The sequence below is a fragment of the Homo sapiens genome, chromosome 4 (assembly GCF_000001405.40).
Source record: "Homo sapiens chromosome 4, GRCh38.p14 Primary Assembly".
NCBI classification, from domain to species: domain Eukaryota; kingdom Metazoa; phylum Chordata; class Mammalia; order Primates; family Hominidae; genus Homo; species Homo sapiens.
The window spans coordinates 144492285-144519769 of record NC_000004.12 but is presented as its reverse complement, the minus strand read 5'-3'; the positions used below and the strand labels follow the sequence as shown (position 1 = coordinate 144519769).

At 38.7% G+C, this 27485-nt stretch overlaps 1 long non-coding RNA gene across 2 annotated transcripts in view, besides 2 other annotated features; it reads left to right on the top strand.

Moving 5' to 3' along the window:
• LOC105377462 (uncharacterized) overlaps positions 1-27485 on the top strand; it is a 360687-nt gene that overhangs the window by 42378 nt on the left and 290824 nt on the right. Inside the window, exon 2 of one of the 2 annotated variants that reach the window (XR_939272.3) lies at positions 20250-20323. The exons of the other annotated variant lie outside the window; for it this stretch is intronic. This is a non-coding gene — a long non-coding RNA (uncharacterized LOC105377462). The remainder of the gene's footprint in view (positions 1-20249; positions 20324-27485) is intronic. 2 annotated transcript variants of the gene reach the window in all.
• Positions 19477-19536: an enhancer, noted in NCBI's record as "active region_21956". NCBI's record gives its function as "activates an Ori minimal core promoter by ATAC-STARR-seq in GM12878 lymphoblastoid cells {active_cell/tissue: GM12878}" and the evidence as "EXISTENCE:reporter gene assay evidence [ECO:0000049][PMID:35858748]".
• Positions 19607-19746: an enhancer, noted in NCBI's record as "active region_21955". NCBI's record gives its function as "activates an Ori minimal core promoter by ATAC-STARR-seq in GM12878 lymphoblastoid cells {active_cell/tissue: GM12878}" and the evidence as "EXISTENCE:reporter gene assay evidence [ECO:0000049][PMID:35858748]".

Below are 27485 nucleotides of genomic sequence, written 5' to 3'. Positions count from 1 at the left end.
ATCTGAAAGCTACTTTGATGATCTCTGTAAAATGAACTCATGGACACCTACCGCATGGCTGGCATACTCATAGCAGTCTCAGAAGAGATCAAAGCCGGACCTCTCTGTGGAGGCTGCTCCCTGAGGACAGTGTTGAAGCCTCCTGGCAGGCTCTCTTTGCCGCTTTACAGGGCCACTACCTGTGCCTGCTTGCTGGGGAACACCACTACCTGTCCTGGGCCCAAGAATTAAAGAGGACTTTCAGTGTTCAAACCCATTCTCTGGCAGCTGGAATTCCAAGTGTACTTAGAAACTATAACCAACTCTATTAATTTTAAAGTGAAGCAAGAATACCACTGCTTTACTTTCTCCAACACTGTCCCTTTGTCTCTTCTGGGCTGAAGCTGTTCTTTCGGCCGTCATTTACCATGGTTGAAATGATTTAAAATGTTATGCAATTGGGCACCAGGATGGGCAGCTGGGAACAAAGAGCTCTCTGGTTATCAGAATCAATGTTAGCCAAACTCTTTGCCTAGTGTCATCAGAAGGGCTAAGAACATACATTTATTATCTTTAAACCACTTTTATTCCTCTTGCCGGCAAGATCCCATATTCTTATTTAACCTGGTATATACCTGGCATTTGGCATGGAAAGGAGCCTCTTTTATTGAAGTCACTGTACCCATATGGGAAAAGACTGGGGCCCAGGCACTTTATAAAGGTGCTTTTAGAATATTTTTGAAAATGTAAAGTATTTATTCAAATATAAAGTGAAAAGTCTTAGATGTTGTCCTCGTCATTCTTAATTTAGAAAGCAGGAGGTGTGGAAGGCTCCAGTAAGGCAGATGCCCCCTTGGTAACTTGGCTTTGCATTTACTAATAAGAAGGAACGGTTATTTTCGGGTAATCAGACAAGGGTATTCTCCTCTGGAGCTCCCTAGGAAAACTGGTTTTCCTCGTGGAAGTCCAAGCTCTTTTCACAGGCTTTTCACAAGCTAAGAAACGTGACTCAAAAACTAACAATGTGGGCCCGCACAGCTTGGGCAACTAAATCTTCAGACATAACAAACTCGGTACAAGGCTCCCATTTTTTATCAGTCTGGGGACAGGAGCTAGATAAGCAGAGGAAAATCCAAAGATAAAGAAACTCTCCCAAGTAGAGGCTGTGGGAGGTAATTTTCTAGAGTGACAACTTGGAATACTGTGGATTTGTGAAGTAAGACCTCCCCTTCATGTGGATATTGTGACATTCTTGTGGAAAAATGAAAACATAGCACACTGTGTATACCATGGCATATTTAACATCGACAAGTAAGGGCTTCAAAGTGCAGTGGGATTGCCTGAGGCAAGACACCCTGCAGGTGTGCAGCTAGCAGCAGGCTAACTGGGTTACTGGAAATGAACGTAGGAAAACACAGAGCTGGCGTTTTGGCTCCCTGCACATCTGCTAGTGCTGAATTCATGGATGGAAACAGAGAAGCATGCTGCATCCTCAAACTGACAGGCAAAATTCCTTGTTAGTACAGAAGAGAGCTGAAAGCAGGTAAAGAATGGATAAGGTTAGGATAGGGCTCAGCTAATTGGATTAGCCTGTGACTTGCTGTTTGAGTTGCCTGCTGATTCCTAGGTCTTCTATTGACGAAACGCATTTAACATCTCCAAAGTTTTCCACATATATTATCTTACCTGTACCCCTAATAATCCTTTGGAGTATACAGGGTAACAATGGTGCCCTCACTTAAAGGTGGGGAAACTGAGATCCAAAGTAGTAAAAGGACTTGCTGAACCTTGCAGAGGGAGATTGTGTAGCAGAGCCAAGCCTGGATTTTAGACCTGAAAGCAAGTCTAGAATTCTTTCCATGACTTGTCTCTTCTATATGTGCAGGCTGCTTTTACTCATCTATGGTTTTCTGAGTTTCAAATGACTATTTCATAAACAAAAGAAAATGACTTCTCCCAGAAAGTAAACTTTATTTTTTTTTACTATTAGGCAAGTAAAATATAGTAGAAAATGTTAGAAAATAAGAAAAAAAGGAATGAAATAAATATCACCCATAATTCCACACCTAAAAACTGTCCATATTTTGGAAACTATGCTTCTTTAATTGTGTGAATACCATACATTTATGGAGATTTTAACCGTTTTTATATAAGAAGATGAGATCACGCGGTATAAAACGGGACTACTTTTTAAATTCACCTAATATTGAGAAAAAACTGTCAAAGTCAATATTATAGACCCTTCTACTATATATATATATGTATACACACACACACACACACACACACACATACACACATATACACTTCCACAGCCACTGTCTTTTCTATTCTATAGGCATAAGACCATATTTTGTTTTACCTTTGTGTGTTGTCAAGCTTTCTATACCACAAAAAAAAGGCTGCAATGACTATGCTAGTGATCAAATTTTTGCACACATTCTTATTATTTCTTTAGGATTAACTTATAGAACTGGAATTGCCAAGTTAAAGAGTATGTATATTTTTACAGTTCCCACTAGGAAACAATGTTTGAGAGAGCCCGTTTCCCCATCTCTTCAGCAACACTGGGTTTTATAATTAAAAGGCAGACTCTGGTAACTTTACATAATTGCAGAGAAGAGGTAACCAGAACATAGGAAAGACACCTCTCCCCACCTTGCATATGATGTATAAGCAAAATAAGTACAACACATTATTTCTCCACTTACCTAACCCAAAAGATCAGCTACTGTAACAAAACAAGATCCCTAAGAGGGAACATTAAGGAAGATTGCACTGAATCCACACTTCAAAGGCCCTAGGGAAACCTAACCAAGAAAAAAATCTAATCCGTCAGTGGCCCATGGCCATATACCTTCTCCTATAATCTCTTCGTCTTTTACAAGTTAAGTAGGGTTAAGCCAGGTCAGCACTTGGAAAAAGGTACTTTAAAGAAATCCTAAGTACCACATAAAGTGTTGGTTATGATTGTATAAATGTCAATCCTGTGCAAACAAGTGTATGTAGCACTTTCCAAAATACCTGCTTCGTAGTGGAAAATACTCTGTCTTCTTGACTATTACTGATGGAGAAGGAGTAGTAACTAATTGCAATGAGCTCCATTTGGTTTGTAGGATTTCTTGGAAAGTTTGTGAAATAGTCGGTACAGCTGAACCTAATGGCTCAGGGTGGCAAATTAACCACTGCTGTTACTAATCCAGAGTAAAGACCACCCATTTTTTCTGTTGGAAGATGGTTCAAGAAAGTACCAGGGACTTTCAGCTGGGGTGATCACACTGCACTTTCAGCTTGTCAACACAAGCAAAACAAAGGGCTGATGCAATGATCTAAGTATTTCAGGAAAAAAGAAAAAAAAAAGGAAAACAAGGATATTCTCAGCAGAGGATTGGAATCTTCAGTAGGCTCTCTCTGCTCAAAAACTCTACCAAATAGCACCCACACCTTTTCTTTTACCCTGATAACGCTACAGAAAAGTGCAGAGCAAAAGTGTCATGAAGTGAAAGAAGGGCAAGAAAACACTACAAGGAATAATCTGTTGAATCTCTAACAGGTCAGTCATAACAGAGTCGGGTAGGAGGACGTTTAGAGAATCGAGGCTCTGTCTAGGACTCCTTTGTGTGTGGCATGTGCTGGGGTGTTTTAGAGCACTGTTATGTTGTGCAAATCCAATGTGCAATCCTAATGTTTTTCAGAGGAACTGTGATTCCCCAAAGCACTATGGATTGAACTGAAAACAAACAAACAAAAACAACTTCAACCTCGAGGGTTGAGCTACACTGTAAATTGAGAAGATATTTTTCTAACAGTTTCCATCCTGAAGTAGACAAGTTTCAGGTGCTCTTAACAAAAGTAGATGTAGCATCAACATTTATTGATCACTGATGGTTCAAAAGGAAAATGGAAACAAGTGCAGCAAAATAAGTGGAGAGCCAGTAAATCTGGAAAGAAAATTTTTGGGGGGTTTAAAGGCTGATATTATTCACTTAATTATTATATCGACTTTATACCTACTAAAACCTCTAGGATGAATTAATAGTCAAAACAACTAAAGTTGGCTATAATTTTCCAACCAGGTTTTCAAAATCCATGTATACTAGATATGATAATTTTTAATGTGGGAAAGTATTTTCTAGCACTTATAAACCATGGTGTAGAATATTGTTCAATAAGTTTTCATGAATAAGTTGATCAATGAGTGAATGGCAGGTAGGAAAGGACTTCTAACTTTAGCAACTTGTGGATTAACAATGAAATGCTCACAATGCATACTTATTTTCCAATAGATAAATGTTTTAATCCATGCATCCTTCAAAAAGTGCCAATAATGCGTTCATTTGTTCATATAGCATTTCTAGAACATCTATCATGTGCCGCATACTATGCTAGATGCAGGAAACATGAAGTTGAATAGACAATTGCCTCGGTCCTTGACCAGTTTGCTTACTGTCCTTAAGAAACTGAGTAACTTTGACAAGTATTTTCTCCAACTCAGAATTTCTTCAACTTCTGAGGGATTTTACATTTTCTAGTTTAATCTTCTTACTGTTGTATTAAATAAGTCCCAGAAAATAAGAGTCTGCTTTTAAAGGTTGAAAGCCCCAGATAAATACCTTTAATGGGGTAATGGCACTCTAAATCTCAAATCCTTTTTCAATGGATTTAGGAATAGATAGAAGAGAAATGGATGGTCAACTAGTATTAGATACTTCTCAGAGACAAGTTTTGAAGTGAACAATATAACATCAAGCTTCTGGTATTTGGATCCCATCTAAAATAAGTAGGCAGCACTCTTCTAATCAAACAATCTGGTGATGCCACTTAGCCAGGCACACAGGAATGCTAATCCTTGTTTCTCAGCAAAATTCCAAAATGGCTCTGCTGGCTCCCTAAATTCCTCTTAGGAGGATTAGCAGGAAAAACTTATTTTCTTTACTTCCTGTCCTCAACAGCTGGGGAGAGTTGAATGGGCTTTTAAAGCATATGAGAAATACTAAATATATGACTTATACGAAATTTTAAAGTCTGCAACATTTTATAGGGTAGAAAACTATTAAATAAATGGGATATATTTTATGACACCATTTACTTATCTTCTTTAGCATCATCATTTCTATTCCTCAGAAGGGAAAAAATATTGGGGAGAAATAAACTCCTAACAATAAGGGAAAGACTATTAGCATAATGTAAATTGCTGTTACATTTTTCTACTGCTTAAGAGAGAAGGTGTCTCAAAAAATAAGTAGTTTGATGCCAGCAAGTAGGCCTGGCATGTCCAGAGCAGCGTCACCGTATGTTCGGTTGTGGGTGGCTCTGCAGACTGGCGACTTCAGAGTCAGTACCCTTGTGGAAGGGTCTACTGATGCTCTTACACTTTTGGTGTCTTGCCGGAATGGTAGATTACACATGTGAAACTTTGGCCTGTTTTCTTTTCAAACAATATATTTTTCTAATGCTGAAAATATCAAATTTATTTTCACAAGCAAAATCCTAGGGGAAATGAGGAAATTGGCCATAAATTCCTTTTTAAAGTATCCACTAGTGACTCTATTCTGTTTATTTTAGGTTTTAACTTGCAGTAGGTCCTTCAGCCTCTTGCCCTACCCCAGTTAACTTGTCACTGTGCATGTTACAAAGCAGACATGCCAATTCTTCAGAAATAGGGTTTAACATTCAGCTGTTCAGGCCTGAAAGACAACAAATATAAGATAATAGGAAGAGGCTAGTTTGACAGTGAAATAAGTCAGGTTCATTTCAGTTGACAGAGAAAGAAATTTTATGCATCAGGGAGAGTCTAAATGGCTTTATTAGACACTAATTTCAAAAAATTCTTTTTACTTCTATAATGCCCTTCCCTCCTTGTTCTCTCTGATGGTTTACAATTAGATTTATTTCTCTGTAATACACAATTAACTTATGATAATTAAGCCCTTATTTTCCAAGACATATTGTTTCATCTTGTTTTTCATCTTTAAATCTTTTTGTTTAACACTTAAAAGAGCTTTAACTTTTTTTCAAGCAAATTCTTTTACTTCAAATACTTAATTCTCTTTCTTTAAAGATGTAGTTAATGCATGCCTTCCGTATTTTTCCTCTCTTTTTCCTCTGTACTCAAAAACTTTACCAACTGCCTTAAGAGGAGTGGCTTCAAGGTTGATAGTGGAAACACTAAATCTTGAAATGGCAGCACATTTGTCATTGATGCACAATGGTGCCATCAATGTAGAGCCCATGTTATGTAGAAATCTCATACCATTGGTTTTGGATAACAGTTCTCTAGAAAGAATTGCCTTATGGCTACCTCAGAATACTCAGCAGGCTTTTTGCCCAGAGCTGCTAAAGCATTTAACTTGATACAACTCTCCTCCAAACACTGTCAAAGCTCCCAGATGTTCTTTGCCACTCACTGGTCCTCCTGCATTCCTCACTACTGATGATGAGCACAGGTGGTCTTTCTCCCTCCCTTGAGCAGACTCTGCACTTTTCATGTCCTGCTTGTGTTCTTACTCAGTTTTTCTTTTCATTGTGCCCTACCTTTCAGACAAAAAAAAACACTGTTGTTGTTTTTTTTTAATATTTTATGTTTTTTGAGACAGTCTCACTCTGCTGCCCTGGCTGGAGTGCAGTGACGTGATCTCAACTCGCTGCAACCTCCACCTTCCAGGTTCAAGTTCAAGTGATTCTCTTGTCTCAGCCTCCCGAGTAGTTGGGATTACAGGCATGCACCACGATGCCTGGCTAATTTTTGTATTTTTAGTAGAGATGGGGTTTCACTATGTTGGCCAGACTGATCTTGAACTCCTGACCTCAAGTGATCTGCCTGCCTCAGCCTCCCAAAGTGCTGGGATTATAGGCATGAGCAACCACCCCCTGCCCCTAGAACACTGTTCTTTCCATGCTTTCATACCACTGTTATCTTGAGCCTTTGCCAGGACTCACATTACATTTTAATTATTTACACCCTGTCTTCCCAGTGTATAAATATCAAAGGTCTTCTCCCTCTAAGGAGGGTGATAACAATCACTGTTGACAGGAAACATCAATGACTTTGAAGAGGAGGATTTTTGATGGGCACCCAGCGTTGTCATGAAGGGGATGTTATAAGAATAGTAGAAGCACATGATGGCATTTAGTTTTAACTGAGCCCACAGACTACTTTATGTCACTGTAGGAATCAGAGCAGTTCAATGAAGGACTCTTTACATAAGAGAAATTATGAGGACTGAATAGTGTTAATTTTTTTTATAATCAGGATGCATCTTTTATAGTTGGATGCATCATTCAAGGAAGGATGGAATTCTATAGCAGGAATGGGGAAGTGGTGAAGTGTATGTGGGATCCCAGCAAAGATGGCAGATGTCCCATGGGCATGGCTAATGCCCTAGAGATGAGCCCTGATGGGTGACAGGGTATCCAGAAACTGTGCGTTCTTTTCGCAATACATTTGAGACATCTATGGGACTTCCCAGAAATATCTGACGGTGGGATAAGATTGCAGGAGAATGAAGTATTGAAGGAATAAATGTAGAGGCTATAAAAGTAGTAAGAATCATGTGTTCCCTCCAATACTTTATTTATACTGCTGGGCTGTTGAATTAAAGGATATTTGCATTATACATAGTTTATGTCTGTGGGATAAAACATAGCAGGTGCTCAGAAGACTGACAATTCTTGGTTCTTAGATCACACAAGAGTTTCTGCCACAGGTCTTGAGAAAGAGATATTGTTATAATAGATGTTTGTTGGTGGATGTTTCCGCATCATTTCCTTTACCCTTCTGATTTCGCTTCGGAGATCTGTGTGATTCTGAGAAAAATAATTCTACCTCTATGTCTAAGGTGGAGCACATGACCTAGGCTAACCTAATCAGTGCATTATATGCACAGATTATATTAATTAGTTCAGATTTAGGCATGTAGTTTAAGCCATCTAATTCAAGCCATGCAAGCAGATTAAATCTCATTTCTTTTCCTGGGAATGTTGAAACATTGATATTGTTGCTGAAAAAAATAGTGAGGAAATATGTTATTCTGGGTTTTGTTGCAGCCATTTTGGGACCATGAGTTAAGTCAGTCTTAGGAAGAAAAAAGATGTTGAATATGTAATTGAGTAGCTTGATGAAGGTTCACTTGTAGCCCATCTTCCCTGTGGTATTTTAAATTATGAGTCAGTGAATCCTCCCTTCTAGTTTAAACACATTGGGTGCAATTTTCTGCTACTAATTACTAAAAACAATCTCATTAGGAAAGATGTAAAGTACTGACCTACATCCCCAATAATATTCTCAACACAGTGTGAAAGTGCTCTATTTCCTTAAGCATGCAAGGAAAATTTTCACAATACCATAAAACTGGATAAAGTTGATAAATGCAAGTGGGCCTTCTCTTTGGAAGGCACCATGACTAGAGGGAATTCCACAAACCATATTCATCTGTATTTCAAGCTACCCCATTCCAGAATCTAAGCAACCAGGGAGTAGCAAACATGCTTATTTATTTTGCTTTAAGTAATGCTGCACATCATATTATTTGTAAATAAACATTTAATGGTTTTGCTTACATTTAATTTTATATTTAATTTCTTTTGGTAATAACAAGGTAACTGGCAATTAACAAGATATCATTTTCTAGGAAAATAAAATAAGGCAAAAAATTATTTAGTTTAGGATACTTTTTGAATTAATGGCAAGGTCACACAGTTCAGTACCATTCAAAAAATTTTTACTGAGGCCAGCTATGTGCCAGATACTGAGACAGGTGCCAGAACAAAAAAAGGAATAATTGTGGTCCTTCTCTCATAGTGCTTACAATTTAGGCCAGAGAAGGCAAGTGAGTTTTTTGTCTCATGTGCTATAATAAATTGGTCATGGTTGCCTGCAGACTTTATTGAGGAGTCTAAGCATGTGTCCTGATTTAATCAAACAGAGGTACTGGATCCAGGTTTACCTGAAGCCTGTACTGCCCCTGTAACCCATGGCTAATGTCTGCTGTGAAGACAAGAAATTCAATGATAGAACAAGTTCTCCGATTCTCTATCTCTGTCTAAGGGCATAGGATTTAGGCATAATTCCACTTTCCATATGCTTTCTACTAAGTCACTCCAATAATAAAGGTTCAAATCTCATGTGCTAATTGTACTATGTTCAAAAACATAATACATTGGGTATGAAAATATGTTTGCATTCAAGACCTAATGACCATAAAGGACCTTGTTGAAAATTGTGAAACAAAATAACCAATGTATTATGTTTTTGAATGTAGTACAATTAATATAAAAATACTGTATGTAGTTTCTCTTTTGCTTCACTTATAGGGAAACATTTGGAATTTATGAGTGAGATACTTTTGTTCTCCAATGACAACTGAAAATGATGGGCTTGGGTCTATAGAATAAGTGTGGGCAAAGCAAACACAGATTTTGTTAAACTTGATGATTTTGTACTCTATGGCTTTTGCAGGGCAGTTTGCTGAATCCAGATTTCCTGAAGAAGATGACATTTTCTTTAGTGGGACTTAGCCCAAGAAAGCAGTTCAAAATGATTAGTGCAGATCAAGAAAAGAAAGGGTATTTTAGTATTCTCATGTCTCTAATTTAATTCCAAAATGTGAGTCCTGTACCCCCCCCAGCACGGTTAAATGCTTTCTGTAGCACGATGAAGGGTAGTAGGAGGGAATTCAACCTGCCAGAGCCACACAGATTTATACCTCATAATAGCTACCAATGCGCCGCAGTAAAATTTTACGTTTCAGCTAAATTACTAATGACTTTCAGGCCCGTGCCAGAAATTTTAGAGTAGGCTTATAAAGGGAGATGAGAGAATATACAGTCAAGCATTCTTAAGAGTGGTGTGTGTGTGTGTGCGCGCGCGCATATGCGTGTGTTTTTCATTTGGGATTATGGGACACGTGCTCATCATTTTTTGCCATCTTGATTAAATGTAATTAGGTTCTGGCAAGCCACCCTTCCCCTCTCTTGGATGCTGGGGTGTTTTTGCATTTTCACAGGGGTTATCCACAGGAGGTTACTCTGTTGCCTTTTGCCTTTACTCCAGGGGTGGCCACATTTTTTTTTGACGTATTGGGCTTCACAGTGATTTACAGATTAAGGATCTGGCCTGAACTCGGGCCAGCAGGACTGCTGTTCTCTCTCGCTGACACATCTCACTGCTTGGAGCCAGTGGCTCTTTGCTTACCCTCTCATTATAGTTCTTAGCCCACATTTCCTTTTGGCACAGAACACTTGGTTATTTTGACGATGTGCTGGATTTGCCTCCTGCCTCTACCCCCTGCTGACTTATGAAAATGACCACTATAGGGGGAGGCAGGTGACCCCCACTCCCCACCCCCAATCCCATCCCATCCCTGGGTCCCTGAAAAGTTTTTCCCTCAGTAGGAGAATTGCTTTAGGAGAAGCCCAAAGTGGGATGCTTGCTTTGCTCACATTGATTGCGTCTCCCAGTGCCTCCCCGCGCCTCATCTCTGTCGTCATCCTTTTTCTACTGCAGGCTCATCAGAGAACACAAGTAGCTCACAGCACCCTGGAGAGGGAAGGTAGGGCCTCCCTGGCTTCTCCTTGTTCTTGTGCTAAGGACAATGACTACTTCTTTCAATGATCTCAGGACCTCCTTTGTAAATATGTGGGCCCTACGCTCTGGCACTGTTTCTGTGTGGGCAAGGATTACCCCCGCTGACCATACAACGATAAAAACTAAAATATAGTTAAAATTAACCTAACATAAAAGAAAAAAAAAAGACTTCTGTATAATAGTAAAAAGCCATAAAGCCCAGTGTGTATACATGGATTTATTCCTTGATTTTTATATACTTTATTCTTCACTTGGAATTGTCCATATTTAATGTTATTTTGATTTTATTCTTTCCTATTTCTTTTACAACCTAATATTTTCATATTGGCCTAAGAAGAATTATTGTTGTTAGAGTCTTTCAGATTCTCATTCTCTGTGTTTTGTATTTTTTCGTTGGCTTGTTTTGCTGAGTCAATGTTACCGATTTCCACTGTATCTTTATACTTTAAAATTAAGAAAGTCCTACTTTAAGCTATTACCATGCAAAACTTTTCCATAATAATGGACACATTTCTAGTGTGTATGAGAGCACAGTAATATGTAGTATGTACAAGCTTCCATAGGAATGTGCTTCCAATACAGGGGTTTGCATTGCTGGGTTGAGATGGACTTCAAAGTTGTTAAAACCTGGTAACTTATTAATATATTTCAGTATATTAAATTATTGTTCTTTTGATATTTTGAGATTCCTCTAAATATGGTTTTAAGAATGGTTTCCTTATCCTCTCTAACTAGGCACCTATATTTTACAAGTGAGAAAACAGACTTAGGTAGACACATAGGCTTCTTAACTGGTCCATTCAAGTGACCATGTTGGCTGCTTGAATCCAGACCTGTGTAAGTTCCGTGTTCTGTCCACTTGACTATACTTGGCCATAATTAAGCCATGTAGCTAGCATGATAGCTCACATAAATCATGAATGCAAAACTTTTTTTTCATTTAATTTTGATAGGCAGCAAGGAGAAGAAGGGAAAACTTTTTTTATTTTTAATTTAATTTTGATAGGCAGCAAGGAGAAGGGAAATCAACTCTTCCCTAACAAATTTTCAGGTCAATGTTAAAGCATTTATTTCTAAACTTAGGTCAGTCTTAGCCTATGTTCTCTTTTCTTTTATGTTTTCTTCCTCAGTCTACTTTTCTGTACATTCTGGGTCTGGAGGCAGGATGAGGATTGTAGCATCTTCCACAAAGCCTGGAAGACAAACTCTGTGTTTACCCTGTTTCCATGGCACCAGGGCTCTCTTGTCAAGGCTAATATCTTAGTGGGACACCTTACTGAGTGGTGTGGGTCTGCTTGTGAAGTTTACTCAGCTGGTTTCGCTTTGGCAGTGAGGCTTCTAAGACCTTCCACAAAACCACCACCTTGGCTGCTCTGGGTTTCTTTTGAAACATCCTCAGGCTTGGCCCATAAGGTAGGACTGAATGGTACCAGGATATTCTGGTGTCTTCCAGAGAATCCCAGAAAAACACTAGTGTATGGACCTAATGGCCAAGAATGGTGTTTAATTCTGAGTTTGGCACTATGATGAGGCTATCACTTCTGTGCATATTTGATCCCTCAGAAGGTAGCCAAGCCTGACCTGTACTTTTCATGTCAATTTTCTGTGAGGAAGAAAGAACAGTGGAGGACTTGGACTCTTGGAAGCTCATCAGAGTGAGCTCATCAGAGCCTTGAACGTTGTGGGCTATGTGGACGTCACCCAGTGACATCAGGAGTAAGGAATTCCTGTTCATTATTCAGGTTTAGTGATGTCTATATGGGATGTGACTTCATATTTAACTTCTTTTTATTCCTCTCTTCTATAATAATATGAACATATTTTCATGGAACACTATTACCTGTAGCTTGTTTTCACAGCTGTTATTTTATTATTCTATTTTGATCATATTAAGATCCCTCCACTGTGAAGTACACAAAGGCAAGATAGAAAAATCAAGACTGAGAGTCTATAAACAGGAACAACAGTACCTCAGCTTATGATTCGTAGTCCAGCTTTTCTTCCATTACCCTGTGCTGTGGTTCACAGGATGGGAAATTGCAGGGTCTGGGAACACAGTCTTTGATGGAGCAGTGGTAGAACTGCCAGTGATGCCTTTGTGCAACCTGCAATGTGCTCTTGTTAAGCCATTTCATTCCTGTTGATTGCTTTTTTCACTGAAGAAAAATAAACTGAAATAAAGGCAAGTATAATTTTCCAACCTTCAAAAGCTCAGCTTCAGATGGTGTATTTGTTTCCTTCAGTTGCTACAACAAATTACCACAAATTTGATGGTTTCAAACATGGAAATATTTTCTCCCACAAATCTCAAGGCTAGAAATCTGAATCAAGGTGTTATTAACATGGTGCTCCCTTGAAAGGCTCTAGAGGAGAATCTTTTCTTGCTTCTTCTAACTTCTGGAGGCTCCTGGAGTTCCTTGGCTTGTGGCAGCCTTATTTAATCTCTGCCTGCATCGTCACATGCCTTTCTCCCCTCTGTGACTATAGCTGTGCCTGTTTCCCCTGCTCTTCTCTTAGAAGGACTTGTCATTGGATTTAGGGCCCACCCTAAATCAGTATGCTCTTGTGATCCTTAACTTAGTAACATCTGCAAAGACTCCCTTTCCAAATAACATCACATTTACAGTTTTTGTGGGTGAGGACATGAACATATCATTTTGGGGTTCACCATTCCACCCACTAAGAAAAAATGCTTTGTATTTATGTGGTATGGGGTGAAAGCATTGAATTATTATAACTAATTTCAGATAATAGAATATGGTAAAATTATGCAATTCAGATTGCATTAATATTTTACATGAGAAAATTCTTCTTAAGGAAAACAATCTGACCTTCTACCATGTGAGTATATAGAGATAAGGATGTGGATGAAAGAGGGAAAGGGAGAGGCTAATCAACATTTTCAGGTGGATTTTGCCCCCGGGTGATTTCTGCCTGACATTTCTTAGAGACTTCACTTCTTCCTTGGGTTTTCTTAGACATTCCGTTCCAACAGAAAAGTCACTGGACAAAATCTTAGGTCAGAGGCCAACTCTACCTACCCCAGCTTCCCTGAAAAAAAGGTCTTTCTCCCTTGTGGTTCTGTTCAATTGTTAAGGAAAGCCACCAAGGCAATAAAAACTCTTCCACTTGGAAGCTGCTGGAAAGTTAGAATGCCTCTGCTCTTACAGTACAACAATATGAACTTGAGAAAACCAGAGTCGCTACTGTGACTGATAGTCTTAACTCCAGTGTCCATATGGCTGTCTCTTTCTTGTCCCTTCACAACTCACCTCCTCAAAGAGGCCTTCCCCAGATATCCTCTCCAAGGGAAAAAATGGCCTATTTTTTCTCATGGCTCCTCCTTGGTTTCCTTTATGACACCACGCATTGTCATATTTTTTTTCTTGTTTTGGATCTATCCTCTCTATGAGAATGTGAGCTCCATAGTGACATGGATTGTGTCTGTCTTGTTCATCACTGAATCCCCCAGGGCCTTTGTAAAATTCTGGCTCATAGTGTCTTATGAATACATACATGTGGAATAGTGAACACGGGAGCAAGTGAATAAAGTAACTTGCCTGTGTCTGTGCTGAGATAGAACCAAGGAAAGATCCTGGGCTGACATCAAGACAACAGCATATGACATAAAATAAAGGAAGTTGGTGAACTAAGTGATCTGGGAAGAGAACAGTAACAAGAATTTTTCATCAATTTTTTTTCCTTCTTACTACTACCAGTACCCCGCTACAATTTCCCATAAATAATGGTATAATATTAAAATTAAAAGACTCTTGGAGAGTTTTAAATTTAAGAGAAATACCAGAAGCACAATAAATAAAACCAAAAGTAATTAATGGGTTATGAGTTAAGGCTACTGAAAATATTATATATATGCACTGGAGTCAAATTTCCTGTTAGGAATGATAATAGGAGAAAGAACAGACTTTGATGTCTTGCCAAAAGCCACCAGCGTGGGGATCCAAGTCACTGTGATGTGGGCACCTGGCCTACAGATTTCAGAATTCTGTGTGGTTTCCCTCAACCAAATTTCTTAAGGAGCCAGCAGAAAGGGGGTAGGGGTGGGAAATGTGTTATCTATAAAAGTAAACCACAAAAATAATTTCCAAGTGCCACTAACGGCCTCAGTTTAGGCTGTAAAAGCCGAGACATTTAGAATAAACTATTGTAACTTCTTGCAAGTGTGGTAGCACACATGGCCAACAGCATGCCGGATGAGAGGAGTATGTAATGTGTCTGCATGGGTGGGGAGAGTGTGAGAGGTGGTAGCATGGGGAGGAGATGTGAGCTTCATGGGTTTTAAGAGTTGCTCTGTCCTTTTGCCAATCCTGCTTGACTCTTAAAATTAATTGCACTCAATAATTTGACATTCATTGCAATTTGTCCATTATATTATTCAAAGATATCTGTGAGTGAAAAGATGCATCTATCCAAAATTCATTTTAGAAACTCATGGTGTCCTACTTGATACATTATGTCAATATCTAATTTCTCTTCTGAACACAACTTAAACCATTTATTTACTAATGGTTAGAAAGATTCAGTCCTTTCTTGATGACAGTACTTCTAAGTCAAGAATTATCAGCTGGGCAGGGTGGCTGAAGCCTGTAATCCCAGCACTTTGGGAGGCCAAGGAGGGTGGATCACTTGAGGTCAGGAGTTCAAGACCTGCCTGGCCAACATGGTGAAACCCCGTCTCTACCAAAAATATTAACAATTAGCTGGGCCATGTGGCTCATGCCTGTAATCCCAGCTACTCAGGAGGCTGAGGCAGGAGAATCACTTGAACCCAGGAGGCAGGGGTTGCAGTGAGCCGAGATGGTGCCACTGCACTCCAGCCTGGGTGACAAAGCAAGACTCCATCTCAAAAGAAAAAAAGAAAAAATTATTCATAAAAGTTGCATCCATAAATGTGTTTACCCTAGATTAAAAGGTGGTGTGTCTGAAGGGATGGATTAATAAATTGGTTGTTCCATTGCATTAAGACAAGGCCAGCATTTCATAATTTTTACTTTCTATTGTGAAACAGTAGAAATAGCCAAGAAGATTTTCCTACAAGCTGTTGCCTTTACTAGGTATATCAGAATGCTTTAGGGTTAAAAGAGGAAAGAAACAATTAAAAGTAGGTTTAACAATACAGGCATTTTATGTCTTACAAACTAAATTCCCAAGCACATTGGTTGAAGGTTTATTATTTTTTTCTTTTTTGGGTTGACTTTCTGTTCTGCCATTTCCAGCCTTTGGGTTACAGGATGGCTGTGGCAATCCTAGGCAGTGTGTTTTCACCCAACAAGATTTAAAGGTGCCTTGTTGAAAAAGGGGGAAAAGAAGGCATGTTCTTTCCTTGGCTTCCCTTTTAAAAGAGAGTGAACTATTTTCAGGCATCTCATGGCAGACTTCCTGTTAACATTTTATTGGCCAGATTTGCAACTTGTCCCAAGTCCCAAATCAATCACTGGCAAGGAGATAGAATTGCCTTGACTGGATCTATTCAAACTTACCTTCCTGAAGATGCGGAGGGCCCCAGCCTCCCCTGAAGCATATGGCTCTCTCAACTAGATCAAAACTGAGAGAGAATATCTGTTGAGAAGGCAATGAACAGTGTTTGCCACTCAGGAAAATATTTAGGAAAGGCTTTAATCAAGAGTTCCTTTGGACAAGGAGCAATTTGGTCACATTTTTCTTCTTGAACTTTCCTTATGTCCCTGTCCTAACTGATCTAAAAAGAAATCACATTCTGTGAGTGAGGGCAGCCATCTCTCTAAACCAGGGGTCTGCAAAATCTTTCTGTAAAAATAATTTAGGATTTCCAGGCCACTTACTGTCTCTGCCCTGACACTGTGGCAGCCTCTTCTTCTTCCTCTGCTTCCTCCCCTTTCTCTTCCCCTTCTTATTTTTCTCCTTCTTCCTGTCTTTCTTCCTTTTCTGCCTCCTCTTCCTTTCCAACCCTTTAAAAATATAAAAGAAGTTCTTAGCTTAAGACCTTTACAAAAAAAGTCAGGATCATTTGGCATGAGAACTGTAGATTGAGAACCTCTGCTCTTGACAGAAAATGCAGAACAAGGGAAAATACAACTAACACAGTGAATTCTACCATTTTTAAATACTTGAATACAATCCATGAGAAAGCTAGATTCAGTTATATGAACTTGGAAACAGGGAAAAGTGAAAGAAGGTGCCCAAACATTGGCACTTTGGTGTGTTTCAGAGTAAAGAGTGGGCTTTCCAGCAACAGGCAGAGCAGAAGTGGAAAAAAAGGCAGATGCCATGCTGAAGCCAAGGGGACCTTTGGCTCCCATGACTGTAGGCCTACTGCTTTTCTGAGGTTGGGGAATCTGGGGTATGCATCTGCTTTTGAAATCTCAAGATATATTTTCCTGATTTTCATTTTATTGCTGACAGTAAGTATAATAGAGAAGAATTCATGTTCTCCATTCTTAATTAAGCATGTCAGTTGAGACATCCAATTTCACATTAAGCTTTCAGCTGCATTCCAACAAGGATTAATCACTTAGGTAATATTTTTTCAATTATTTTATTGGAAAAGAAACAAATGCAAAAATCCTGTATGAATAGTGTATGAGACTACAAATACAGAATCTAAATCTAGCATTTAAAAGTAATTAACATATTTCAATAAAACATTTTAAATTATAATTCTCAAAAAACTAATGAATACATCTTACATATAAAAAAATCTTTGAATCTTGAATCCTATTTCTTTGCTTAAGCATAGCCTTCCTTTTATAATTATAAAGAGGCAGTCATACCTTGGAGATACTGCAAGTTCAGTACCAGATCACCACAATAAAGTGAGTATTGCAATAAAGCAAGTCATATGAATTTTTGGTTCCTCAGTACATATCAAAGTTATGTTTATACTATTCTGTAGTCTATTAAGTGTGCAATAGCCTTTTGTCTAAAAAATATATATACATGCCTTACTTTAAAAATACTTTATTGCTAAAAAATGCCGATGATGATCTGAGCCTTCAGAGAGTCATGATCTTTTTGCTGGTGGAAGGTCTTGCCTTGATATTGATGGCTGTTGACTGATTAGGGTGGTAGCTGCTGAAGGCCAGGGTGGCTGTGGCGATTTCTTAAAATAAGACCACACTGAAGTTTGCACATAGATTGACTCTTCCTTTCACAAAAGATTTCTCTGTTTTACTCACAGTCGAACTTTTTTTCCAAATTGGAGTCAATCCTCTCAAACCCTGCTATTGCTTTAGCAACTAAGTTGATGTAATATTTTAAATACTTGTTTGTCATTTCAACAACGTTCACAGCTTCTTCACCAGGAGCATATTCCATCTCAAAAAACCACTTTATTTGCACGTTCATAAGAGCCAGCTCCTTGTCTGTTAAAGTTTTATCATGAGATTGTAACAACTCAGTCATATCTTCAGGCTCCACTTCTAATTGTAGTTCTCTTGCTATTTTTATCACAGCTGTGGTGACTTCCTCCCCTGAAGTCTTAACTCTTCAAAGTCATCCATGGAAGGGCAGAATCAACTTCTTCCAAATTCTTGTTAATGTTGATATTTTGACCTCCTCCCATGAATCACAGATGTTTTTACTGGCATTTGGTGAATCTTTTCTATAAGGTTTCAATTCGCTTTGCTCAGATCCATCAGAGGAATCACTATATGTGGCAGCTAATGCCTTATTAAATGTATTTCTTAAATAATAAGACTTGAAAATCAAAATGACTCAATCCATGGGCTACAATGGATGTTTTGTTAGCAGGCATGAAAACAACATTCATTCACTTATGTATTTCCATCACAGCTCTTGGGTAACTATGTGCATTGTCAATGAGTAATATTGTTTTGAAAAAAAAATTTTTTCTGAGAAGTAGGTTTCAATAGTGGGCTTCAAATATTTTATAAACCATGCTGTAAACAGATAAGTTTTCATCCAGATTTTGTTTTTCCATTTCTAGAGCACAGGGAGAGTAGATTTAGCATAATTATTCATGGCCCTAGGTTTTTTTTTTGTTTGTTTTTTGTTTTTTTGAGACAGTGTTTCACTCTTGTTTCCCAGGCTGGAGTGCAATGGTGGGATCTTGGCTCATGCAACCTCCGCCTCCCGGGTCCAAGGGAATCTCCCGCCTCAGCCTCCTGAGTAGCTGGGATTATAGGCATGCGCCACCACCCCCAGCTAATTTATTTATTTATTTATTTATTCATTTATTTTATTTATTTATTTTGAGATGGAGTCTTGCTCTGTTGCCCAAGCTGGAGTGCAGTGACCTGATCTTGGCTCACTGCAAGCTCCACCTCCCAGGTTCACGCCATTCTCCTGCCTTAGCCTCCCGAGTAGCTGGGACTACAGGCGCCCACAACCACGCCTGGCTAATTTTTTTATTTTTAGTAGAGACAGGATTTCACCATGTTAGCCAGGATGGACTCAATCTCCTGAATTTATGATCCGCCTGCTTCGGCCTCCCAAAGCGCTGGGATTACAGGCGTGAGCCACTGTGCTCGGCCAAGTTTTGTGTTTTTAGTAGAGACGGGATTTCTCCATATTGGTCAGGCTGGCCTCGAACTCCCACCCTCAGGTGATCCGCCCCCTTCTGCCTCTCAAATTCCTGGGATTACAGGCGTGAGCCACTGCACCTGGCCAAGGCCCTAGGATTTAAAGAATAGTCAGTGAGCAGTGGTTTCAACTTAAAGTCGCCAGCTTCATTAGCCCCTAACAAGAGATTCAGCCTGTCTTTGAGCTTTGAAGCCAGATTTTGACTTCTCCTCTCTAGCTATGAAAGTCCCAGATGACATTTTTTTCCAATAAATGGCTGTTTTGTCTGCATTAAAAAGTCTGCTGTTTAGTATAGCCACCTTAATCAGTTATCTTAACTAAATCTTCTGGACAACTTGCTGCAGCTTCTGCATTAGCACTTGGTACTACACCTTGCACTCTTATGTCATGGAGATGGCTTCTTTCCTTAAACGTCATGAACCAACCTCTGCTAGCTTCAAACTTTTCTTCCAAAGCTTCCTCATCTCTCCTAGCCTACACAGAATTGTAGAGAGTTGGGCCTTACTCTGGATAAGGCTTTGACTTAAGGGAATGTTGTGGCTGGTTTTAGTGGCCTTTCTGGGCCACCAAAGCAACAAGGCTGTTTTGCTTTCTTATCAATCATGTGTTCACCAGAATAGCACTTTCAATTTCATTTAAGAACTTTTCTTTTGCATTCACAACTTGGCTAACATTTGGTGCAAAAGGCCTCTTTTTGGGGCTATCTCTGCTTTCTACATGTCTTCCTCACTAAGCTGATTCATTTCTAGCTTTTGATTTAAAGTGAGAGATGTGTAACTCTTCCTTTCACTTAGACACTTAGAGGCCATTGTAGGGTTATTTATTGGCCTAAATTCAATATTGTCATGTCTGAGGGAATAAAGAAGCTGGAGAAGAAGAAGAGAAATGGGGAATGGCTGGCTGGTGGAGCAGTCACAATACACACAACATTTATTGATTAAGTTCTCCTTTTATATGGGTGCGGTTTATGGCACCATAAAGCAATTACAATAGTAACATCAAAGATCACTGATCACAGATCACCATGACAAATATAATAATGATGAAAAGTTTGAAATATTGTGAGAATTACCAAAATGTGGCACACAGACAAAGTTAGGATATTTTTGGAAAAATAGTGCTGATTTTCCCTTGCTCTGTGCAGGTTGCCACAAACCTTCAATCCGTGAGAAATGCGGTATCCATGGTGCACCATAAAGAGGAGCTCAATAAAACAAGGTCTGTCTGTGCTAGAGGGTAAGGATACTAAATCTAACAGTACTCCCAAACCATTGTCAGTTTTAATTTTGACCTAATTTCCTCTTTTCTAGTATTGTAGTAAACAAGCAGGGGAGAAAAATCAGTCTTACATGGAATCTGGGTTTTGTTTAGTAAATTGTGAGTAAAGACCTGAAGCATGCCATGCAATGTAGTAGCTTCAGGTTATACGACAGAGAGACACAGGATGGAAAAAATTGGAGTGAATTCTTATAGGGCACCTTCCATGTCAATGCGAAAAGTGCACAGGAAACTGAACTCTTCAACCAGGGTACTTTTTAAAGTAGTGGTTGGGGAAGAAAATTTAAACATTCCCGTGAACCATCCTTATTTGCATGGCAAAAATAATACCCAATGGCTTGTTTTTCATAAATTCCACATATTGAGAAACGAACTTGAAAATTACAGCCTCTTAAACGAGAAAAACCTGTTTCAGGTCTTCTACTAACAGCTGAAGTTTTTACAAGAAGCTCAGTTGGTATTCCAAGCACATATAAAAGTGAATATTATTATTTTTTGAATGACTTGATTGCCAGCTACTCATAACTTAGCCTCAACCTGGAGACCGAGGAGGAGCTAAGAATTTTTTCTCACTTATTTGGTCAAGGCTTATGGATAATTTAGTTAAAGAAAGAAAAATCATTATAAATTCTACTATTTACAAATTTCACATTTTTCTTGATGTTGAGATCATTATATTTGGGATGATTAATTTCCAGTCAAATTGTATCTGGAGAGTTATTGAGCTTCAAAATCTCAGTATGCATGGAAACATGCTACAAGCACAATTTATTGCATAGAGGAATAAGCACAATATTTTTCCTAAAAAGTTAAAAATAAATGATATTTGGGAATAAAGGAAAATCTATGTGATGTGCTGAATTTTACATTAAACAGATCACATGGCGACAGATGCCCAGTGTTCTGTGTCACCACCCCCTGCCCCTCCGTGGGTGTTGGATGGGTGGAAACAATTGGTAGATGATGTGCTGGGCTTTAGGTCCTGTTTGCATGTGAAGACTCCTTCGTGGTTTTCAGGCTGTAGCCTCAGTTTGTGACACTGCTGTGGCATTGTCTGGGCTTCTGTTTATGTTCCATTCCTCTTCCCTCTCCTGCACCTTCTGAGAGTTGGGCCTTTTGCCTTATTTCTTTGGTACACATTCTCTAACATGCAGGGTTAGTAGAAAGGTTTGGACTCATTGTTTTCTTGCTTGTCCACTTCAGAATGCTCCTCTAGTTTTTGGACTTTCTCCCCACACCTCTTGGCTAGGCAGAGATTACAGTGCACCCCCAAACTTCATAGTATCATGTGCTCAGCATGCAGAGAGTCCCGCAGGAACCAAGTTTTCCGTTGTTCTGTTCATTCAGTCTCCCAAAGACTAGTATAGCAGATTATTTGGGTATATGCAATTTTTTTAATTCTACATTGTCAGGACAAATTCCTAAAGGAATTGTAATAGAAAAGGACAGAGATTAAAGTTCTAGTTAATGTGGACTTCTTCCCGAATTTCAGAAAGGACAAGTTCCTAAAGATTGGGACCCACACAAGGAGGGGGTCCTGTGGACAATATTCTGGCATCTTTCCCCCATCTTCCTCACCTTCTTTGGTTTCTCCATCCCTACACCTACACTCTCTGTTTTGTGAAATGTCACCCCTCCCATGGGAGGAGCTCCTGGGTTGCTGACAGGGGGTCCCAAGTAGCACCTAGGCTTCAGTGGTGGTTGAGGGCAGATAGTGATGCTGACGGTGACCCAGCCTTGCTGGAAACTGTGGCAAAGATTAGTTCTCTTCCCCGACTTGCAAAGGAGAAAGAATTGAGAGTGAGATGTTAGTGAGTAACAAACTAGTGTTATGTTCTACAACAAAAGGTATACTACAATTTTCCAAATAATATTGTCTAAGTCAACAGCAAGAAATAGTATATCTCCTGTGTTTATTTCCTACATTTTTGCCTTTACTATGTTTGGATTTTTTTTTTTTGTCCCTCAAAAAGCAAACTTGCCATATTATCTTGGATTTATCTACCAGCCAAAGATAAACATTTATAACAAACAGTTGTGAATGAATGTTTTCTTCAGTGTCTTTAGGTTATCAATACTCAAATTTCTACAGCAAGCAATTCCCACACACAGAAAATAATGTACGGGAGAAATAGCATCTTTCCAAGAAGGAACAAGGGCCTTTTGACCTCGCCACAATCTACAGAGTTAAATTCTCCCAGCAGTGGGGATTTTCTGTGTGCCAGCTGATCTCTTCATTTGGATATATTAACTTGTCTCCCACTGTTTTTTAGAAACTATGTTCCCTGGACTAAAATCTGTAGTTCTTATTGAAGAGGGTTAAATTAATATTTCCCTGATTGCCACACACCTATAACCCTATAAGAATTTTAATATTTATTCTTTTTGGATGTCTTCTGGTGATTGTGTGTGTGTGTGTGTGTGTGTCTGTGTGTCAACAGAATATAGCCATACGTAGAGCACTTCATCTAAGATGAAGATAGCTGGAAGATGCTGAAATATTGTTCATAAAACTCCAGTTCCTTATTGGTCTCTTTTTATAAGCTGAGAAAATAAAACTCTCTTAGAAAAGCTATTTCATTTCTCCACTGGCTATGAGAATAGAATTGGATAGCTTCCTCCATAAACAACCATCTAGCCCATATTTTTGTATATCAAGAAGCTATGTATTTGATACCTATTTTGTGCCAGGCAGTGGATTTAGCATGATGAATAAGAAATGATTCCTGCCTTAACAGTTCAAGTCTCCTGGAAGCTACAGAGATAAGAACAAATCATTATAATTCAATGTGATAAGTGAAGTGACATTGGCATAATCAAGGGATTGTGAGATTATAGAGAAACTATTCCTAACTTAGCCTGAGAATGAAGGCTATGTTCCTGGAGCTTCCTAAAGAAGCTTCATGCCAGAACTTTGTTTTAATGGAGAAGTGATAAAGTTCTATGGACAAGTAGTGCTTATTAGAGCCTTGCTTTTAATAGCATAATTTGTAAGAATACTCATTACTAAGTTTCTATTTTCAGTTGCAATGTTTTTAAGAGTTTGTTCTATTTTCTTTCCTGCATTCCAATCTTGCTATGTTTGGATGATATGATTACATTGCTAGCTTTTTGATCTATGTGACATGATAGTGCCACTTTAAAAAAAAATCGGCTTAGAAAATGAGAATCCTTAGTAAGTGTGAATGTAAATGAGGTCATCTTCACAGTGCAATTGAAGATTTTACTCTTTGATTAAGATTGAGAAAGTTACTAAATGACTTGTCCAAGGCCCCACAAGCTGATTTGGGTGGCCAAATCAGCTTTAGAAATGAGAAATTCCTAATTCTTGGTGGCGTGCATTACTAGGCCAGAAATGAGTGGAAGAGCAAGTGATATTTATGGCTGGTGATGAGGGAAACCTCAAAAGGGCTGGATGATCATTTGAAAGAGTGGTCATTTTTCTGTGCTTATTTATACCTCCTGGGATTGAACGTTGGATGGCTATTCCACAATAACCATTTGCTGGCTTCACATTTGCATAAAGCATTTTTTCCAGTGTCATCAAACATGGAAACATGGCTTCTGTGGAAACCATATCAGAAAGCACTGGGACATTTTCAAAACTTCAGGAAATGGTTAGGTGTCTCTAGCTTGTAATGATAGCAGAGGAGTCTGTTTGAGGGAATCTGAAATAGCAACTCAAAAAAAAAAAAAAGAGCCCAAGGTTGTGAGAAGAGACCCAGGTTTGTGTTGTGCCCCAGACACTGTGCAGGTCTCACATCTTCCAGGGAATCAATTTATTCTTCTGTGAAATGTGGGGATTAGATGTGTCTAATTTCAGTGTTATACATTGTTTGGTAGCGATGAAACAAAACAAGGAGATCACTATTAAACAAGCTATAGCTCCTTTTAGTCTGACGTGACCAATAAAACTTGCTTGGAGAGACATTCACTGCCATCCTTGATCAAAAAGAACTTATGTCTGCATAAATAATTTTACTACTAGGAAATAATTCCTTAAACCATAGTTGTGTATTTTAGTTGCAAACAGTGTGCTTAATGCTAATTCTTCCTTATATCTCCTTTAGTTCATGTTTTGACCACTTTGCACTGATTCAGGACGTACATTTTTAAGTAGAAATCATGATTGAGTCATTGTGATTTTCCTAGAGGAGGACTTGTTATTGAAATTAACAAAAAAACCACAAGATACTCCCATATATGACAATGATGTAGAAAAAGTGCAAAATACATGATTGAGTTGTCAATATATAACCCAGAAATTATAGAAGATTAATGCTTAGTAAGAGAAAATTGCTTTACAAGAAAAAGTGGTAGAACCATCTGACTTTGCAGTGTTCTTTTGCAAGGGGAATAGGTAAAGAAGGAGTCAGGATGGGTTAGGCACTGCACTGATCTGCCTCTGTGTTATCCCATTTAATCCTTATAACAATGCTGAAAGTTACGTATTACTTCACTTAATCTTTAAAACAATGCTGAGAAGTATTTATTATTATACCCGTCTAACAGAGAAGAGGCTGAGACTCAGAGAGGCTCAGGTCCTACAGTTAGTAGGTAATAAAGAAAGAGTTCAAACGAGGGTCTGTCTGACTTCAAAGCTCTAGCTCATTCTATTCAGTTCCTTGCCTCCTTCAAAGGCCCCTGCCCATTAACTTTAGGAGGCTGTGGCAAATTTGAGCTAAAATCCAGATTTGGTTATTTAAGCCCATTTTCTCCTCTGAATTAGAAGCCCACCTCTTCTGCTGTTGCTTCTTCCAAGGCCCTGTCTCCCTCAGATTATTAGACTAAGGACCACCCCTGACATGTTGACAAGAAATAAGCTTCTAATTTGCAACTCTTCTTTGTACAACTTGTCAGCTCAGAGCTTCTACCAGAGAAGTATTTCACAACAGGCCTGGCCACCTTACCACATTCCAAGCAGAGTTAAGGCCTTCATGGACTATAATACTTGAAACCCTTACGGCGACAAATTACTTGCCCTCAATTTTAATGCCACCAGGGCTTATTCTCCCTTTTCTTCTCTCTGCTTCAAAGAGTCATATTATCTTCTATTATACACCAGAGATCATGTTGCTTTGGGTTACACTATAAAATAAATCATAATATCCAGCAGTTTATTGCTCTAGCTTGCCCTCATGCACACAAAGACAACATGAAAAGCAAGCTTGGTAATTTCAGGTGGCATGTCATTGGGCCAACTATGAAAAGAATTTTTTATTTGGTTCATGTCCAAAGACAGTTTTGTGAAATTGAAGTGAATTTTGTCTCTCAGCCTGAATGAAAGGCCGTTGGTTTTGTTCTTTCCTTCTGTCCCTTGGAGGACTGCTGCTTCTTCTGTAAGGTATCTAGTGTGTGCCTGAAAAAGATTAAGATGGTCCCCAGGGGTGGGGGACTGTTCATCGGAATTTATTACTGTTCAAAGCCTCTATAAAGGCTCTCATTTAACACTGGCCTTTGTATTTCCATCCATGAAAATTGTTCATACCATGACGAATCCCATACATTGTCAGTATTCTTCATGGAATATTCCAAACAAGACCACAGTGAACCAACTCCTCAGCAGGAGAAAAAGGGGAAGATGCTGGGGCAGCCAAAAAACTAAAGTTTGCTTTAATCGTTTGTGGCATTTTCCATCCAGGTCATAGCTCCCTTAGGCAGCAACTGATGGAAACTCTATTTTGACAGTTAAAAGAAGAACTGGGATAGATGCTCTTGCCTACCACGTGAGTTCTTACAATGAACCAAATTTTCAATTAGACCCAAGGAAGAAAAGTAGGCCTAAAATGTACTGTCTTTTTTCTCCATTGAAAACCCAACATCTGCCAATTACAACAGCCTATCTAATTTGTTATATTGGTATTTTTCTTTCATTTAGTAAAAATCTTTTTTAGCATCCATCAGAGCTATGCTCTAAGAAAAGAGTTGTATACACTCACATTCTCTTTATAATTCTTTGATTTACAATTTCTTAATGCGCATTAAACACACACATGCATATATCCCACAATTGCAATCGATAGTATTCAAATCAAATACAAAAAGAAAGAAGGCAGGTATGAAAGAAAAATATTCTAAGAATGGATAATAAATCTAAAAAAGAACTGACTGTACATTAGTCTGAAAACCCAATTTCTGCAAATTAGTGTTAAATGAACAAAAGCTTAAAGCTTAGAACCTGCAGTTGAGTGCTGTGTGGACTGACACTTGGAATATGTGGTTAATTTCTGTAAATATATGGAGGAGCTACAATTCTAATGACTTAAATGCTAACAATAAAAGCTTGAAAAAATCTACATTTTAAAAGCAGCACTGTAAATCACACACTAAGGGGGTAATGTGAACAGGACCTGGAATGTGGGGGCAGGGAGAGCAGAGACATTATTTCTTTCATGTTTTGCAAGTATCAGCCATAACTGGAGGGTCCCGAGAATGTGCCCTTCTAGTTTGCAGCTTGTGCCCTGACCCCATGTTTATAAAATCCTTTGGGGACCACTTTTAGTTTAGCCTTCCAGCATCCTAAAAAATTTGTTTGTATTACCTCAGTTGCACTGGGAGTTGGTTAGTAATTACGTTAGTTCCGTTAAACGGCCTTGGCAGCTTTTAGTGATTAACTTTGTAGAAACCTTCCCTATCCCTCACTACCTCCAATCAACTTGCTAACTCTTACCCATTTAAGAAAAAATGAGTATGATTTACCGTAGCAGCCCCCTTTCCCTTTTGTACTCCTGCCTTTGGTGGAGTCTATGTGCTGAGCTTTTTTCAACATTTTTTGTCCCATGCCTAGCACAGGGTCCACACAGAATAGCTGGAAATGAATAAAAAATATTCCAACTTTTGCTAAAAATTGCCAAATTGCTTTCTGCCAAGGTGATCAAGAGTGGCAATAAAACTTAGCATTATCTTTTTTAAAAGTTGCTTATATTATGGGAATAGGAAAAAATCTTATCTTGTTGTTTCCGTTTACTAGGGTTGCATATTTTAAACATACTTATTGGTGATTTACTCTTCCTTTTTGGTGAATTTCTTGTCCTTTTCTTTAGTCTCTTTTTCTATTGGGTCATTTATCTTTTTCTCTTTTTTATTCATAAGAACTCTTATT